The 16,237-nt window shown below is 44.1% G+C and overlaps 1 protein-coding gene across 15 annotated transcripts in view, besides 1 other annotated feature; it reads left to right on the top strand.

Annotated features, from left to right (window-relative positions):
* Window positions 1-16,237, top strand: part of UXS1 (UDP-glucuronate decarboxylase 1) — a 100,991-nt gene that overhangs the window by 58,393 nt on the left and 26,361 nt on the right. For all 15 annotated transcript variants that reach the window (NR_045607.2, NR_165308.1, NM_001377505.1 and 12 more), the window contains 3 exons: window positions 6,131-6,235; window positions 10,230-10,289; window positions 12,818-12,939. Coding sequence is in view for 13 of the 15 variants with exons in the window: in NM_001377505.1 (NP_001364434.1) it covers window positions 6,131-6,235; window positions 10,230-10,289; window positions 12,818-12,939 (287 nt within the window). In the remaining 2 variants the exon portion in view is untranslated. The remainder of the gene's footprint in view (window positions 1-6,130; window positions 6,236-10,229; window positions 10,290-12,817; window positions 12,940-16,237) is intronic.
* Window positions 4,931-5,445: an enhancer, noted in NCBI's record as "H3K27ac-H3K4me1 hESC enhancer chr2:106746920-106747434 (GRCh37/hg19 assembly coordinates)". NCBI's record gives its function as "activates a minimal SCP1, AML or CMV promoter by ChIP-STARR-seq in primed H9 embryonic stem cells {active_cell/tissue: H9 hESC(primed)}" and the evidence as "EXISTENCE:reporter gene assay evidence [ECO:0000049][PMID:30033119]".

Here is a 16,237-nt window from a genome sequence, read left to right as displayed (position 1 = left end):
TTGTCAATTTTGGCTTTTGTTGCCATTGCTTTTGGTGTTTTGGACATGAAGTCCTTGCCCACGCCTATGTCCTGAATGGTAATGCCTAGGTTTTCTTCTAGGGTTTTTATGGTTTTAGGTCTAACGTTTAAATCTTTAATCCATCTTGAATTGATTTTTGTATAAGGTGTAAGGAAGGGATCCAGTTTCAGCTTTCTACATATGGCTAGCCAGTTTTCCCAGCACCATTTATTAAATAGGGAATCCTTTCCCCATTGCTTGTTTTTCTCAGGTTTGTCAAAGATCAGATAGTTGTAGATATGCGGCATTATTTCTGAGGGCTCTGTTCTGTTCCATTGATCTATATCTCTGTTTTGGTACCAGTACCATGCTGTTTTGGTTACTGTAGCCTTGTAGTATAGTTTGAAGTCAGGTAGTGTGATGCCTCCAGCTTTGTTCTTTTGGCTTAGGATTGACTTGGCGATGTGGGCTCTTTTTTGGTTCCATATGAACTTTAAAGTAGTTTTTTCCAATTCTGTGAAGAAAGTCATTGGTAGCTTGATGGGGATGGCATTGAATCTGTAAATTACCTTGGGCAGTATGGCCATTTTCACGATATTGATTCTTCCTACCCATGAGCATGGAATGTTCTTCCATTTGTTTGTGTCCTCTTTTATTTCCTTGAGCAGTGGTTTGTAGTTCTCCTTGAAGAGGTCCTTCACATCCCTTGTAAGTTGGATTCCTAGGTATTTTATTCTCTTTGAAGCAATTGTGAATGGGAGTTCACTCATGATTTGGCTCTCTGTTTGTCTGTTGTTGGTGTATAAGAATGCTTGTGATTTTTGTACATTGATTTTGTATCCTGAGACTTTGCTGAAGTTGCTTATCAGCTTAAGGAGATTTTGGGCTGAGACGATGGGGTTTTCTAGATAAACAATCATGTCGTCTGCAAACAGGGACAATTTGACTTCCTCTTTTCCTAATTGAATACCCTTTATTTCCTTCTCCTGCCTGATTGCCCTGGCCAGAACTTCCAACACTATGTTGAATAGGAGCGGTGAGAGAGGGCATCCCTGTCTTGTGCCAGTTTTCAAAGGGAATGCTTCCAGTTTTTGCCCATTCAGTATGATATTGGCTGTGGGTTTGTCATAGATAGCTCTTATTATTTTGAAATACGTCCCATCAATACCTAATTTAATGAGAGTTTTTAGCATGAAGGGTTGTTGAATTTTGTCAAAGGCTTTTTCTGCATCTATTGAGATAATCATGTGGTTTTTGTCTTTGGCTCTGTTTATATGCTGGATTACATTTATTGATTTGCGTATATTGAACCAGCCTTGCATCGCAGGGATGAAGCCCACTTGATCATGGTGGATAAGCTTTTTGATGTGCTGCTGGATTCGGTTTGCCAGTATTTTATTGAGGATTTTTGCATCAATGTTCATCAAGGATATTGGTCTAAAATTCTCTTTTTTGGTTGTGTCTCTGCCCGGCTTTGGTATCAGAATGATGCTGGCCTCATAAAATGAGTTAGGGAGGATTCCCTCTTTTTCTATTGATTGGAATAGTTTCAGAAGGAATGGTACCAGTTCCTCCTTGTACCTCTGGTAGAATTCAGCTGTGAATCCATCTGGTCCTGGACTCTTTTTGGTTGGTAAACTATTGATTATTGCCACAATTTCAGAACCTGTTATTGGTCTATTCAGAGATTCAACTTCTTCCTGGTTTAGTCTTGGGAGAGTGTATGTGTCGAGGAATGTATCCATTTCTTCTAGATTTTCTAGTTTATTTGCGTAGAGGTGTTTGTAGTATTCTCTGATGGTAGTTTGTATTTCTGTGGGATCGGTGGTGATATCCCCTTTATCATTTTTTATTGTGTCTATTTGATTCTTCTCTCTTTTTTTCTTTATTAGTCTTGCTAGCGGTCTATCAATTTTGTTGATCCTTTCAAAAAAACCAGCTCCTGGATTCATTGATTTTTTGAAGGGTTTTTTGTGTCTCTATTTCCTTCAGTTCTGCTCTGATTTTAGTTATTTCTTGCCTTCTGCTAGCTTTTGAATATGTTTGCTCTTGCTTTTCTAGTTCTTTTAATTGTGATGTTAGGGTGTCAATTTTGGATCTTTCCTGCTTTCTCTTGTAGGCATTTAGTGCTATAAATTTCCCTCTACACACTGCTTTGAATGCGTCCCAGAGATTCTGGTATGTGGTGTCTTTGTTCTCGTTGGTTTCAAAGAACATCTTTATTTCTGCCTTCATTTCGTTATGTACCCAGTAGTCATTCAGGAGCAGGTTGTTCAGTTTCCATGTAGTTGAGCGGCTTTGAGTGAGATTCTTAATCCTGAGTTCTAGTTTGATTGCACTGTGGTCTGAGAGATAGTTTGTTATAATTTCTGTTCTTTTACATTTGCTGAGGAGAGCTTTACTTCCAACTATGTGGTCAATTTTGGAATAGGTGTGGTGTGGTGCTGAAAAAAATGTATATTCTGTTGATTTGGGGTGGAGAGTTCTGTAGATGTCTATTAGGTCCGCTTGGTGCAGAGCTGAGTTCAATTCCTGGGTATCCTTGTTGACTTTCTGTCTCGTTGATCTGTCTAATGTTGACAGTGGGGTGTTAAAGTCTCCCATTATTAATGTGTGGGAGTCTAAGTCTCTTTGTAGGTCACTCAGGACTTGCTTTATGAATCTGGGTGCTCCTGTATTGGGTGCATAAATATTTAGGATAGTTAGCTCCTCTTGTTGAATTGATCCCTTTACCATTATGTAATGGCCTTCTTTGTCTCTTTTGATCTTTGTTGGTTTAAAGTCTGTTTTATCAGAGACTAGGATTGCAACCCCTGCCTTTTTTTGTTTTCCATTGGCTTGGTAGATCTTCCTCCATCCTTTTATTTTGAGCCTATGTGTGTCTCTGCACGTGAGATGGGTTTCCTGAATACAGCACACTGATGGGTCTTGACTCTTTATCCAACTTGCCAGTCTGTGTCTTTTAATTGGAGCATTTAGTCCATTTATATTTAAAGTTAATATTGTTATGTGTGAATTTGATCCTGTCATTATGATGTTAGCTGGTGATTTTGCTCGTTAGTTGATGCAGTTTCTTCCTAGTCTCGATGGTCTTTACATTTTGGCATGATTTTGCAGCGGCTGGTACCGGTTGTTCCTTTCCATGTTTAGCACTTCCTTCAGGAGCTCTTTTAGGGCAGGCCTGGTGGTGACAAAATCTCTCAGCATTTGCTTGTCTATAAAGTATTTTATTTCTCCTTCACTTATGAAGCTTAGTTTGGCTGGATATGAAATTCTGGGTTGAAAATTCTTTTCTTTAAGAATGTTGAATATTGGCCCCCACTCTCTTCTGGCTTGTAGGGTTTCTGCCGAGAGATCCGCTGTTAGTCTGATGGGCTTTCCTTTGAGGGTAACCCGACCTTTCTCTCTGGCTGCCCTTAATATTTTTTCCTTCATTTCAACTTTGGTGAATCTGACAATTATGTGTCTTGGAGTTGCTCTTCTCGAGGAGAATCTTTGTGGCGTTCTCTGTATTTCCTGAATCTGAACGTTGGCCTGCCTTGCTAGATTGGGGAAGTTCTCCTGGATAATATCCTGCAGAGTGTTTTCCAACTTGGTTCCATTCTCCACATCACTTTCAGGTACACCAATCAGACGTAGATTTGGTCTTTTCACATAGTCCCATATTTCTTGGAGGCTTTGCTCATTTCTTTTTATTCTTTTTTCTCTAAACTTCCCTTCTCGCTTCATTTCATTCATTTCATCTTCCATTGCTGATACCCTTTCTTCCAGTTGATCGCATCGGCTCCTGAGGCTTCTGCATTCTTCACGTAGTTCTCGAGCCTTGGTTTTCAGCTCCATCAGCTCCTTTAAGCACTTCTCTGTATTGGTTATTCTAGTTATACATTCTTCTAAATTTTTTTCAAAGTTTTCAACTTCTTTGCCTTTGGTTTGAATGTCCTCCCGTAGCTCAGAGTAATTTGATCGTCTGAAGCCTTCTTCTCTCAGCTCGTCAAAATCATTCTCCATCCAGCTTTGTTCCGTTGCTGGTGAGGAACTGCGTTCCTTTGGAGGAGGAGAGGCGCTCTGCGTTTTAGAGTTTCCAGTTTTTCTGTTCTGTTTTTTCCCCATCTTTGTGGTTTTATCTACTTTTGGTCTTTGATGATGGTGATGTACAGATGGGTTTTCGGTGTAGATGTCCTTTCTGGTTGTTAGTTTTCCTTCTAACAGACAGGACCCTCAGCTGCAGGTCTGTTGGAATACCCTGCCGTGTGAGGTGTCAGTGTGCCCCTGCTGGGGGGTGCCTCCCAGTTAGGCTGCTCGGGGGTCAGGGGTCAGGGACCCACTTGAGGAGGCAGTCTGCCCGTTCTCAGATCTCCAGCTGCGTGCTGGGAGAACCACTGCTCTCTTCAAAGCTGTCAGACAGGGACACTTAAGTCTGCAGAGGTTACTGCTGTCTTTTTGTTTGTCTGTGCCCTGCCCCCAGAGGTGGAGCCTACAGAGGCAGGCAGGCCTCCTTGAGCTGTGGTGGGCTCCACCCAGTTCGAGCTTCCCGGCTGCTTTGTTTACCTAAGCAAGCCTGGGCAATGGCGGCCGCCCCTCCCCCAGCCTCGTTGCCGCCTTGCAGTTTGATCTCAGACTGCTGTGCTAGCAATCAGCGAGATTCCATGGGCGTAGGACCCTCTCAGCCAGGTGTGGGATATAGTCTCGTGGTGCGCCGTTTTTTAAGCCGGTCTGAAAAGCGCAATATTCGGGTGGGAGTGACCCGATTTTCCAGGTGCGTCCGTCACCCCTTTCTTTGACTCGGAAAGGGAACTCCCTGACCCCTTGCGCTTCCCAGGTGAGGCAATGCCTCGCCCTGCTTCGGCTCGCGCACGGTGCGCGCACACACTGGCCTGCGCCCACTGTCTGGCACTCCCTAGTGAGATGAACCCGGAACCTCAGATGGAAATGCAGAAATCACCCGTCTTCTGCGTCGCTCACGCTGGGAGCTGTAGACTGGAGCTGTTCCTATTCGGCCATCTTGGCTCCTCCCCCCCAGACTTGGCTTTCAAATGTTAAAAAAAATATATATATATGAATGAAGGTCTAGAGTCTCCCAGCCTGCTTCAGGGTGTTGGGGACCCAGGCATCACCTCACTGGGTGACTAGTGCACAGTCAGGATTGATTGAGAACCTCCAGACTGACCTGCTGTGGCTCAAGGCTTGATCTTCAGCTCTTCCATTCCCGGCACTGGGAAAGGAAAGACAGCAGCAGTTCCCTGGTCAGGGGAGCCCGGAAGGCCCGGGCAGAGGGGCCCCTGCAAGTATTCTTACACATCCATGTGCAAGGGAGGACTCATTTTGGCAGCAGAGCTTTCAGATCCCTGTTCTTCACTCCTGTGGATGGTGGATGTGTTTCCTCACCATTGGCTAAAAGTAGAATGGCATGACATGGACTTTGTCTGGAAGGATGGCATTCCTCCTGTGTGTGTGTGTCTGTTGCTGCCATTCCACAGGGAGAGGTTGGTCCCCGAGGACTTCTCTGCTATGTGCAGATGTTACCTGACTTGGTTCTGTGCTGGAACGCTGTGGGTAGTGACGTTAAAGTGAATGCCTTTCCAGGAGGGGCAGGGGTTGCATGGAATCTGAATTGCTTTGCCATTCATGGCTTTAAAAACCTCCCTCCCTCCCTCGCCATGGTCTCAGGGTCTGGTTTTATGTATACAGGATGCATAAAAACAAACGAGAGGCTACTTTCTCCCATAGTTCTGTGTCTTTGGTTTAAGTCATATTTGCCTCACAAACTAAAAAAAAAAAAAATTCATGATTAATTCTGTGTCTGAAAAAAATCAGTCTTCCTTCTGATTTGAATGCTCTATCTGGGACAAATATTTCAGAAAACAATCAACTCAGTAATCGAATTGACTCTGGTTACACGAGAACAGACTCAGCTGACCCAGCACATGTTTTTGTTTCCAAATAATTAGACTTTCTATTTTTGTTTAACATTTTCCTAATTACAAATGTAAATTAGTTTATATGAAGAATAAAATAACTTGATTTCAGTGAAAGATATACTAATACGTTTATTATACAGTATATATCCTAGGAGGTCAGTATTTTTTTGGTGCTTTTTTGAAGTAATAGGCTTCTGTTTTGTCTCCTTTAGTTGACCAGATATACCATCTGGCATCTCCAGCCTCCCCTCCAAACTACATGTATAATCCTATCAAGACATTAAAGACCAATACGATTGGGACATTAAACATGTTGGGTAAGTTGTCATTTTCTTGTTTTTTTGGCTGTTGCTGGGAATATTTTAGATGATTACAAGCATAGGTCATTGAATCTTCTACTAGAGTTTGATCTGAGTGTGTTCCCTCGTCCCTTATTGCCCTGCTTGTGGTATTTGGCAGTTTTGCAGTGTTATTTCAGTGTGACTTTTATTTGTCATCAGAGTATGTCATGGAGGAGATGGTCTAACTTAACTTTTCATGCATTGTAGTAATCAGGCTGCAGCACCCTGGTGCAGATCCCCTGGGAGTGACCACAGGCGCTTCATGTGACCAACCACCCAGCCTGCCCCCCTCCCCTCCTCTGAAACCAGTTGATGAATGCTGAGGATAAGTGGCATGCCTCATGCTGGAAAGAGGCAGTGGTGGCTCTGATCCCCAGGTTGGGTTGACATGGCCTTACACACGGGGGTGATTCAGTAGCACTCCTTGAAGGAATGGATGGAGACATCTGTATGGGGTGTTATCAAGACTGAGTACCTGCCCTAGATTGGACTTCAGGGTTCGCATTAGTAAAAGATGGACGAGAGAGCATTGTTAATGGTGGTCATATGTGTATATTCACAAATGACATGCCTTAGATTTATAGCAGTGGGTAATGTGCACATATTAATGTTTAAAATTAGAGGCATGCTTAAATTTGGCACAGTTTTTTCAAAAAACTCCAGGGGTTTTGATTATTTGCAAAGTGGAAGAAAGGAACCACTTTTAAAAATGGCAAGTAAATGATGGATTTAAGTATAGGAACATTTAATACAGGTTCTGCAAATAGACTTGGGACATACAGCACTAAATTTTAATTTGAACAAAGCGTGGAGTCGAGAATGAAAGGACAGCCAGAGATTGGTTTATCTCTTAGATGCAATATTTTAGGGGGTGGTACTAGTCAAGGTTCTACAGAAGAACAGAACCAATAGGATGTGTAGAGATTTAGAGAAAGAGATTTGTTACGAGAGATTGGCTCACATGATTATGGAGGTCAAGAAGTCCCACCGTCTGCCTTCTGCAAGCAAGAAAGAGAACCAAGAAAGCCAGGGGTGTAGTTCCAAGGCCTGAGAACCAGAGAGCCGAGGGCAGATCGATGTTCTGTGTAAGCAGTTGACCTTCCTCCATCTTTGTGTTCTAGTCAAGCCTGTAAGGGACTGGATGATACATCCACGTTGGGGAGGGCCATGTGTTCTACGCAGTCTACACATTCAAATTATCCTCTCTTCCGGAAACACCTTCACAGATACCCCCGGACATAATGTTCAACCAGATACCTGGGCATCCTGTGGCCTAAGTTGACACATAAAATGAACCATCACAGGGGACAGGTTGTTTGGAGTAAGATGATTCATTCTTCCTATCTGGAAAGAGCTTTATCTTCTTTGTTACCGTCTCCTGCTCTGGTCACCAGACAGAACAGGGTGCTGCTGCTTCTGCTTAGAGGTGTGCGTGATGCCCTCTTCTTGCCATCACAAGCGCCTACCCCTCCTACACTCTCTCTGTCCCGCCCCCCTCCATCATACCAGAACTAGACCATAGAGGAAAAGATCATGCACTTGGTGTTTAGGGAGATTCCGTTTATTCTTCCTACTCGGGGGATGCAGTCACTGTGCCCGTGGGTCCTGTCACTGGGGCAGATTCAGATGGGGTTACCCTCAGGCTCTTCTGCACTTGGTGCCCTATGGGGGTTGGGGGCTGCTGAACGGGCACAAGCGTCGATGATACCTAGTAGGAAAGGAAAGTCTCCCAAAGAGAGGCCTCAGCAAAGTGCTGTTAGAGTTAAAGGCAAAAATGACTCGAGCTAGGGCTTGAGCTATGACTGAGATTGAATGTGGAGGCCTTGCAGGAATGGTAAAGAGTCTTCCAGGAGAGATACAAAAGGCAAAGGGAGACCATTGGTAGGCTGGAAAGAAACCCAAATTGGACTTTGTATTCTGAACCGAGAGGCGCTGTCATTAGCCATCTTGCACTTGAGACAAGATGCCATGAACTTTGCCTGGCTTTTTCCTGGTGAGGCCCTTTCCTCTATGTAACTTGCCCACCTCCCAGACCCTGTGCTAGAGTTCTTTCTCTGATGAAAGTTTTTCGTAACCCCCAGACACTACAGCAGCAGGATAGCTCCCTTGGCTTCACTCCCTGACAGTTGTCTCTGTAGATCCTGCGTGAGTCATTCCATGAAAGTGCTACAGAAATAGTCTTAGTTTCAAAATCTTTAAACTCAGTTGTTTTTGAAATATAACACATTGCATTTGTGATGTGTGTTTGTGACCAAAGTTCAGAGAAAACTATAAACTAGAAAGAACTCAGGTAGGGGGGAATATAAAATGTATAGTTACTCTGGAAAACAGTTTGACGCTTTCTTAAAAAACTAAGTATGCATCTACTGTAAGACTCAGTAATTGTATTCTTGGGCATTTCTCCCAGAGAAATGAAAATTTATGTTCACATGAAAACCTGTGTGAATGTTCATAGCAGCTTTACTTGTAGAGGTCAAAAATGAGAAGCAACCAGAATGTCCTATCATAGGTGAATGATTAACGGCAGTGCATACATATATCCCCGGGAATTCTACACAGCAATAGATTAGGAAGGAACTTTGATACACACTGCAGCTTGGATAGATTTTGAGGGAAATATGCTCCATGAAAAAATTCAGTCCTAAGAGGCCGTGTTCCATTTGTGTATCATCCTTGAAATGACACAATTATAGACATGGAGAATTGGTTAGTGGTTGCCAGGGGTCAGCAGGTGGGAGGGAGCGAGGAGAGGCTGTAGAAGGGCCCTGTGAGGGATCCTGGTGGAGATGGAAATGCTCTATCACTTTTATCAATGGAATGTCCGTTTCAGTGGAAATAGTCACTGATCATATCAATGTCAATGTCCTGATTGTGGCACAATCTAGTTTTGCAAATTTTAGCATTGGGGGAATCTGGGTAAAAGATACATAAGGTCCCTATACTACTTTGTACAATTGAATTTGAATGTACAAATATCTCAAAAAATTTAATCAGGAAGAAAAAGATCTCAGAGTCCTTCATTTTGAAGCTACTACATTGTCTGACACACTGATACCCCTGGCTGCTGCACGCTAGAATCCTACCACCCCACCCAGCCTCACCCAGAAGCGCACATAGGTTGCATGTGCCTGGCTCGTCTCACCCTCCTAGCAGTGCTTCGTGGGCATGTGTTGGCCCCTGCTGTTGGTGGGGGGGCAGAGCTGAGGGGTGTCCAGCACAGCCCCCCTCTAGTGTAGTGGCGATTGGGGGTGGGGTATGTCGCCTGTCTTAAGTACAGGGTTAGTGACGGTCAGGGGGGTTCTTGGATCCTGTAGTGAACCACTGTACACTGGGACTCTGTGAATGAGTTTGGAAGACTTTCCATACTTACTTGACCACCATAGATAATGATGTTCTGGTCAGTTACATGTGAGTGGTCAGTCCAGGAAAGGGGTTCAGAGCAGAATTGAGGAATGTGACAGTTGCTTTGGAAAAGGTGCTGTGTAAGCTGAACCGCATAGGAGGAAGAAGAATGAGTGGAGAGTTACCCAGACAGGGTGGCATGGGCAGTTAGAAGAGCCCAGGAGATGTTCAGGAAGTGGCAAGCTGACCATTGTGGAAGTTAAGGAGAAAAGGGCCTTGCCTTCTGCCAACCAAGGGAAAGTTACCCAGTAAAATATGGGGTAATATTTGGGGGCAGAGGAGTCTTCACGAAACTCCTCAAATCACACTTTATCAAACTAACAGATTCTGCGTTTGGCCCTGCTTATGACAAGTATTCAACAAAATACTGGCCTTCTGAGAATCCATTTATGTTTTTCTTACTGTATTTGTTTTGTTTATTTTGGTGCCAAAGCAGACGCAGTAAGGGTAGATAATTGGATAGATAATTAAATGTCTTTAATACTAAAACATTGCTTAAATTGGCCAGCAAAAAATGTGCCTGCACATGTAAATTCAGTCTCTTTTATCATGTCATTGCTTTCTGTAGGGCTGGCAAAACGAGTCGGTGCCCGTCTGCTCCTGGCCTCCACATCGGAGGTGTATGGAGGTGAGTAGGAGGCTCTCTCAGGAGATGTTCACTCCAGCCCTTGGACTGTTTTCATCCTGTCTCAGAAGAGTCCAGTGTTCTTTTCTGAGGAGGCCCAGCCTGCCCATGCTCCTCTTGTGCACAGGAGGCTACCTGTCGGCCTCCCGGGTCGCCAAGCTCCTCTTCCTTGTGGGACAGCCTCTCTTGTTTGATCACACATCACTGGAGGTCTGCACCCTGTCACCTGGCCAGTAAAGACCCACCATTTATGATTCCACAGAAGTGTTTCTGCCATTCTGCTCTGAAAACACCCCACAAATCACACTATCTTTTTACCTGTTTGTCTAGCACATGTCATTCTTCTATGTGAGTCATGCATGCTGCATGCCTGACCTCCCAAGAGCTCATGGGCTGGCCTTTAAAGCTTGCTGGGAGAAGAGACATGCGCTGACTGCCTCCCCTGTTGTATAACGAGTTCTGGAAGAACCTTAAGCAGGTAGTGTCAGAACACCCACGAGCTTGTTTTACCAAGCTACAGCCTTCCTCTCCTTCACTGCCTGAGAAGGAGTTGAGGAGTGGGGACCAGGAGCTGTGTTTTCAATGTGTGTTGATTTCTCTTCAGCCCCAAACCAGCTGGGTGTGCAAGGTTCAGGAGAACTGCTTAGCTGATACAGCGGAAGCCAGGTTTTAGTATGATGTAATTTTTCTATTTTACATTATTATTGTGGACAAGAGAAGGAAGTAAGAGGGTAAAATCAGAAGAGACTTTTTTTTAATTAAGGAAACCAAATGAAAAAAATCATAGCAACAGAGAAATTCTTCTAAATGCAGTGATATTCTTTGTAATCTCTATGAAAAGGTAGTTCATTGTCTACTTTTTTGAAGTCCTGGGCAGTTATTAATAAAAGAGCAGAGTGTGTCCCTCCCTACCTATGGGGTATGGTATCTGTCCAGAGGGGAACAGTGACATCTTTCCCACAGCCATCCTGCTTCCCCTACTCATCTCATTTATTATCTGCATGTCTGACAGGAGCCTGTGTTCCTTAGGCTTCCTAAATAATTGGAGAGTGTAATTTATGGAAGTCACCAGGTGCTCTCCTCTGACCTTGAATAACCAAAGTAAACTTTTGTGGAGTATTTGCTTAGTGTCTTAGCCTCACAGAATGCTGGAAAGGGGAGATGATTGGAAATTATTTTTGACTCTAGGTCTTTACTTTTGTATTAACAATGTAAGCTGTCCCTGTTTTATTCCACGGTGATTTTGTGAGGGGACTTATTTAGAAGCTTGGCATCCTGGGCATTTCAGTCCAGACGGTGCCAGTCCAGGGACAGATGGGCGTACCCAGCCTTTTCTTTCTTGTCCTTTGTCAAATTTATGACCATCTTTTTTGGAGGGTAGCTTGCCCAGCTCTTGTTAAAGATCCCCAGAAAAAGGTCTGGGATCAATCATCTGGTACATTCTGTGAATTTAAGTCAATGGTTCCTTTCTCTCAGGAAGTATTTTCCTTAGAACTTTTCTCTCACTGAGTAGTGAGAAGTTTGCTCTTTGAAAGGGAATTTTAAACCACAGCAGCAGATACATAGACCTTTCTTTGCAGCACACTTCTGCATTGCTGCGGAGGCTGTGCTGACCCAGAGGGATCGGCTGAGCAGACAAGTGGCAGGATACCTGTCTGTTTACCTCCCTGCACCTGCTCAGGCCCACTGAGTCCCAAGTCAGACTTCAGGGGTAAGATAAACAAGATGGGAATTTATAACAATGCATCTTTTTGTCCAGATTTCGTGGCAAAGACTTATACATTTTATATCATAGTTGTACTCAAGTATGTATAAAATTCTTGGTGTACTAAATAAATTAGGTGTATATTCATATTCCAGAAATATACTTGTGTGAATAAAAGAATTTGTTACGTGTTTTCTTCCAATAGTCTCTTCCCCTGGTATGTCTTAAAGTGTGATTGATTTATACGCTAGAGAAACAGGAATTGGGAGTGTAAAATGAGGGCTAGAAGAACAGGCACCCATTTGCCAGGGGCACCCCGTCCCTCCACCTGCCCTACAGGAGCCTCCACGTTGACTTGTCACGGGTCCCAGATTTGTTCTGCTGATGGCACATGTCAAAGTCATCATGTTCCAGAGATGCTGCGTTTTTCATTTTTTTTCAATAAATACATGATTTGCTCCAGTTATCAACTTTATAAATATAAAACAAAACCACATATCTCTTCACATAGATTCTATTTAATTGTAATTTGTGTAGCACTCTGAAAGTTAAGAACAATTTACGGAAGAGAGGGAAGACTTAAAATTGGGAGACCTGATCTTTTTCTTTTTTTTTTTCCCCTGTAAGTAAAATATTGTCATTGCTTAATATCATATCCTACTGGAACTCAAGAGAATGGACTGGAAACCTGAGGTTGCCTCTTTAATACATCTCTCCATCTCTAAATGGGTCTTTCCGAAGTTCCCTTTTGCATCATAAATATGCATTATTGATATGAACTGGAAAAAGGAAAGATGAAAACAGTCTCACTTTTCTCCCATCGTAGATCCTGAAGTCCACCCTCAAAGTGAGGATTACTGGGGCCACGTGAATCCAATAGGACCTCGGGCCTGCTACGATGAAGGCAAACGTGTTGCAGAGACCATGTGCTATGCCTACATGAAGCAGGTATTTCACCAGGGTCTAGGCTTGCGGTTTAGGCGTGCTGAGCACCCTGACCTCAGATGTAAAGTGTTGTAAAGGAATGAATGCCATGACTGATTTTGTCTGGGGATAGGTGTTTGGGAAGCTCAGTTTCCCAGTATTATAAATTAATGGTATTATCAACAGCTTTTTCCATGTATCTCCTTATTTTAAAAATGATTTCCTAGAGATCAATTCTTGGGTTTGGAATACTATTTTATGGCTATGAACAGAATGCTTCTTCATTGCCAGTTGCTCACCAGCAGCTAAGAAGTACCTCTTTTCCTGAAGCCTCCAAATCAATGGATCTTCTTTTTTTACTTTTCTATCAATTAAGTAAAAAAATGGATGCGTTATTGCTGTAATTTGAACCTCTTTATTGTTATTGATATTTATTTACTGTTATTTCATGCTTTCTTCATTAGTCATTGTTGTGCTGATGATATTTTATGTGACAGATTTGGTCACCTGCATGTTATAGCAGAAATTGCTCACAGACCAAGAGGCCGAGGTTGCCACACTGGCTGTGCTGCTGTGTGACTCCAAGATTTAAGCCGTCATTCTCTCAGTTCTTATCTCTGACACAGGGTTTGTGAAGCCTGCCCTGCCCATCTCAGGGTGGTGCAGGAGCCAATGAACTGTGCAGAGAAGGTGGAGGCCTGGGCACAGGATATCCCATTCATGTTCTCACTGAGTGTGTCCTTGGGCTTGGGTCTGAATTTTCACATCCTCATGAAAATGCCCTCTGGTATAGTGGGACATGCAGGTAAATCAACATGGCTGTGGAACGTTGGTCCAGGACAGGCTGTTGGTAGATGCAGTGTCTGTTTCTGGGAGCAATGCTGTCAGGCCCAGGGCCCAGTCTGCAGGTGAGCCTGGGGAACTGTCGGCTATGTGCTCTGTAGGAGGGGCAAGTGTCATCAGCATGGCCAGCATCCAGGAGTTTTCCTGACTGTCTGTCTCAGGCCCCGGCAGAGCCCCAGTCAAGCATGTGCCAAGGGCCAGGTCTCCTGTTCCTGACCTTGGGATGAGAGTTTAATCGACTTCCCTTCCCGTGGTACCACAGAGGACAGGGCAATGTAAAGCCAGGTAGGCTCTCTGAGGGGTAGGAGAGAATGTCGAGGACTCTCTTTCTCATCATGTGTTTAATGAAATGCCAGCATTAAAGATGCATAAATTAACCTTATGCTATTGTTTATATTTAAACTTTTCTGCTTTATTTCTTGGCCAGAAGCAGAACTAATTGCCTTCTAAGCGACTTTAGTCTGTTGGCTTACATTATCCACTTCCTCTATGAAATGCCGATCAGTTTTAGTAGGAACATACTTTCATCATTTTGGGGCCCAGAATATCTTGACTCAAAAGTTTCAGATGATCTTCCAGACACACAGGACCACTCTGTGTGCATGGGTACTTAGGAGTACTGACTAGAGTGTCAGGGGTACATCATTGCATTTTATTCTAGAATGTGTTCCAGGAGTGATATGATTCTCAACTGTTTTCTTTTGCTTTCAGTCCTATGATTGTATTTCTTACCTAGTGAATTTTTATATAGGTAAAGCTGGTGGACAAATGGGACATTTTGATTGAGCTTTTAGTTTTCATTAAATGATTATTCGGCTAATGTAGTTGATAACTTTATGGGTATACCTATTGCCTTAAGTATAAGCTTGCGATAATTATGGTATTTGGCAATAATAGAAGCAGCACTTCTTGAGCACCGACTGTATGCTAGGTACTGTTCTAGGTATTTGGCAATAATAGAAGCAGCACTTCTTGAGCACCGACTGTATGCTAGGTACTGTTCTAGGGGCCTGGGCTCCAGCCAGGATCTGCATTTCACACAAATGCTAACATTGGACCCGTTCGTGTCATCTGTGCCTGGGGGTTCCGGAAGGTAGCACCTAGTAACTCTGGAACATCAGCATTTAAATTCCTGCTCACATAGGTCTCGGGAGCTTAATGGCGTGGGCAGCGTTGCCCTGAAAACTGTGAGTAATATACCTGTTAGAAGCCCCCCGTGTGGTCAGCTGGTTCCTCCTGCTCAAGGTAGCATCCCTGACGTGAACCCTGTCGGGAAGGTGTCCCTGTCACTCCGTTGGCATGATACGCCTTCTATGGAGTCACCAGGCATGTGCCTTCCACCCTGGAGTCCCTAACAGACAGTTGCAGAATGGCTGCAAGAGTCACTTCTGTGGCCAGGTTCACAGTGTACTTCACACAGGGGTGTCGTGGGTTCTTCATGTGGGAACCACGCTTGCTGCTTTCCGTCACACTGGGAGGCTTGAGAATTGGCCCATGGAAGACAGGTGCAGCACTTTCTAGGAAGGAGAGTGTGGAACTTGGGCTCTTGGCCAACAGGTCAGTAAACTGTAGTTTCATTGGGGCTCACACTCTACTTAGCACATGTGCTGAGGGTTTGCATCTGCCCAGGTGAGAAATGGCACCGAGGAAGGCCCACCTCTGGGGGCACGTTGAGGGAGGCATGTAAGCAGGTGTGATATTGCCACCCTTTCCCACGGACCCTACCCGTTCCCACTGTGCAGTCATTATGTCAGGGAGGACCGTGCCCTTGACCCTAGGGGTCCTGGGGCCCTGTCCAATTCTGGTGGCTGCGAGGCAGACAGGAGGAGGTTGTAGTTTCCTGATGAGGAAGGAATGACGTGACTAAGAGCAGTGAGCCTGTGAGGGTCACTGTGGTATTGCCTGAGCTCCAGGAGGCCTGTGAAGAAGGTGCAGTGTGTTCTTCCCACCTTCCGTCCCGTTATTCATGTTGTAAATATTGTGCTCCCTTGTAGGAAGAGCCATGGGTCCAAGGCCACAAGCCCCTCTGGGCCCTAAAATTGGTACCTGAATACTCATTCCCACTTTTTTCTGAATGGGTGCTGAGGAGGGAGGAAAATGGTGCCTTTCCTCTCTGCGCAAAGGAGCAGACACCTCACAGCTGAGACAGGTTTCAGTTCCTGCTATGGCAGGATATTTTGCCAGGTATAGAAAAATAAGACAATACTGATTAAGCAAGAAAAAAGAAAAATTGCTATGCATAATCCCATCTAGAGACAAACATAAGGGGGAAAAATAAAATAAAACAAACACCACTATATAAAGATTGTGAGAGATATAAAACGTTGAAATGAAGACGTTGAGATGATTCTTTAACCCAGGATTTTGTGACAGCTGGCAGCAAGGGTGGGTCCAAGCACCTCCTGCCACATTGGGTCTGCCCTCTACCTGTGGCTTGATCTGGGGCAAATCACTGGACCTCTTTGGGGCAACAACTCCA

This window comes from Homo sapiens, chromosome 2, assembly GCF_000001405.40.
Source record: "Homo sapiens chromosome 2, GRCh38.p14 Primary Assembly".
Lineage (NCBI taxonomy): Eukaryota > Metazoa > Chordata > Mammalia > Primates > Hominidae > Homo > Homo sapiens.
This window is presented reverse-complemented; position numbering and strand designations above follow the sequence as displayed.